This window comes from Homo sapiens, chromosome 17 (genome assembly GCF_000001405.40).
Source record: "Homo sapiens chromosome 17, GRCh38.p14 Primary Assembly".
NCBI classification, from domain to species: domain Eukaryota; kingdom Metazoa; phylum Chordata; class Mammalia; order Primates; family Hominidae; genus Homo; species Homo sapiens.
In genome coordinates, this window is record NC_000017.11 from 39,585,131 (window position 1) to 39,587,336 (window position 2,206).

Here is a 2,206-nt window from a genome sequence, read left to right on the forward strand (position 1 = left end):
TTAGCTGGGTGTTGTGGTGCACATTTATAATTCCAGCTACTTGGAGGCTGAACCTGGGAGGCAGAGGTTGCAGTGAGCTGAGGTCATGCCACTGCACTCCAGTCTGGGTGACAGAGTGAGACTCTGTCTCAAAAAAAAAAAAAAAAAAACCAAAAAAAAAAAAAACTCCAGGGCTTGGTGGCTCACACCTGTAATCCCAGCACTTTGGGAGGCTGAGGCAGGCGGATCACAAGGTCCTGAGTTCAAGACCGGCCTGGCCAATGTGGTGAAACCCTGTCTCTACTAAAAATACAAAAATTAGCCAGGCGTGATGGTGGGCGCCTGTAGTCCCAGCTACTCGGGAGGCTGAGGCAGGAGAATTGCTTGAACCCAGGAGGCAGAGGTTGTAGTAAGCCGAGATTGTGCCACTGAACTCCAGCCTTGGTGACAGAGTGAGACTCTGTCTCAAAAAAAACAAAAAAAAAGGAAAAGTGTTCAAAATTGTGTGGTGATGGCTGTGCAAATTTATAAATACACTAAAAATCATTGTATTATACACTTTATTTTTTATTTACGTATTTATTTACTTGTTTGTTTATTATTATTATTATTTTTGAGATGGAGTTTCGCTCTTGTTGCCCAGGCTGGAGTGCATTGGCGTGATCTCGGCTCACCGTAACCTCGGCCTCCCAGGTTCAAGCGATTCTCCTGCCTTAGCCTCCCGAGTAGCTGGGATTACAGGCATGCGCCATCACGCCCGGCTAATTTTGTGTTTTCAGTAGAGACGGGGTTTCTCCATGTTGGTCAGGCTGTTCTCAAACTCCCGACCTCAGGTGATCTGACCGCCTCGGCCTTCCAAAGTGCTGGGATTACAGGTGTGAGCCACCATGCCTGGCCTACATATTTATTTTTTTGAGACAAACTCTTTGTCACCCAGGAGGGAGTGCAGTGACATGATCATGGCTCACTGCAGCCTTCAACTTCTGGGTTCAAGCCATCCTCCCGCCTTAGCCTCCTGGGAAGCTGGGACTATAGGCATGCACTGTCAGGTCTGCCTAATTTTTAAGTTTTTTGTACAGACAAGGTATCACCGTGTTGCCCAGGTTGGTCTTGAACTCCTGGCCTCAAGTGATAATTCTGCCTCAACCTCCCAAAGCACTGGGATTACAGGCAAGAGCCATCACTCCTGGCCTGTTGTATACTTTATTTATTTTTTATTATTTGTTATTTTTAAGATGGAGTCTCTCTGTCACCAAGGTTGGAGTGCAGTGGTGCAATCTCAGCTCACTGCAATCACCACCTCCCAGGCTCAAGTGATTCTTGTGCCTCACCCTCCCAAGTAGCTGAGACTACAAGTGCCTGCCACCACAACTGGCTAGATTTTGTATTTTTAGTAGGGATGGAGTTTCACCATGTTGGCAAGGCTGGTCTTGAACGCCTGACCTCAGGTGATCTGCCCACCTTGGCCTCCCAAAGTGCTGGGATTACAGGCAGGAGCTGTCGTGCCTGGCCCTGTTGTACACTTTATTTTTTAAATTTATTTTTTATTTTTTGAGATGGAATCTTGCTCTGTTACCCAGGCTGGAATGCAGTGGTGCAATCTTGGCTCACTGCAACCTCTGCCTGCCAAGTTCAAGTGATCCTCTCACCTCAGCCTCCCAAGTAGCTAGGATTTAAAGGCGTGCACCACCACACCTGGCTAATTTTTTTATATTTTTAGTAGAGATGGGATTTCACTGGGTTGGTCAGGCTGGTCTCGAACTCCTGATCTCAAGTGATCCATCCACCTTGGTCTCCCAAAGTGCTGGGATTACAGGTGTGATCCACCGCGCCCAGCCTGTCGTACATATTAAATGGGTGACTTATATCTCAACAAAGCTGTTCTGTTTTTTAAAAAGTCACTCTGACTGTTGCACTGAGAATAGACTATAGACAGGAGTGGATCAAGGGCAGAAACTGGTCATCCAGGAGAGAGGGAAGGCAGTGGGTAGCAGTGGAGGGACAAATGCGCTGATTCTGGATTTATTTTGAAGGCAGAGCAGACAAATTCCCTGATGAATCAGATGTGGGATATATAAGAACATAAACTAGAATAGTTGAAGAACTGGAGTTCTGGAAAGGAGGAAGGGCTGGCCTGAAGGCATGGGCCTTCAAGGGCAGCGCTGAGATTGCCCTTAGAATTTAGGTTCTAAGACCCTGGCTTTTTATTTTTTACTGATTGATTGAT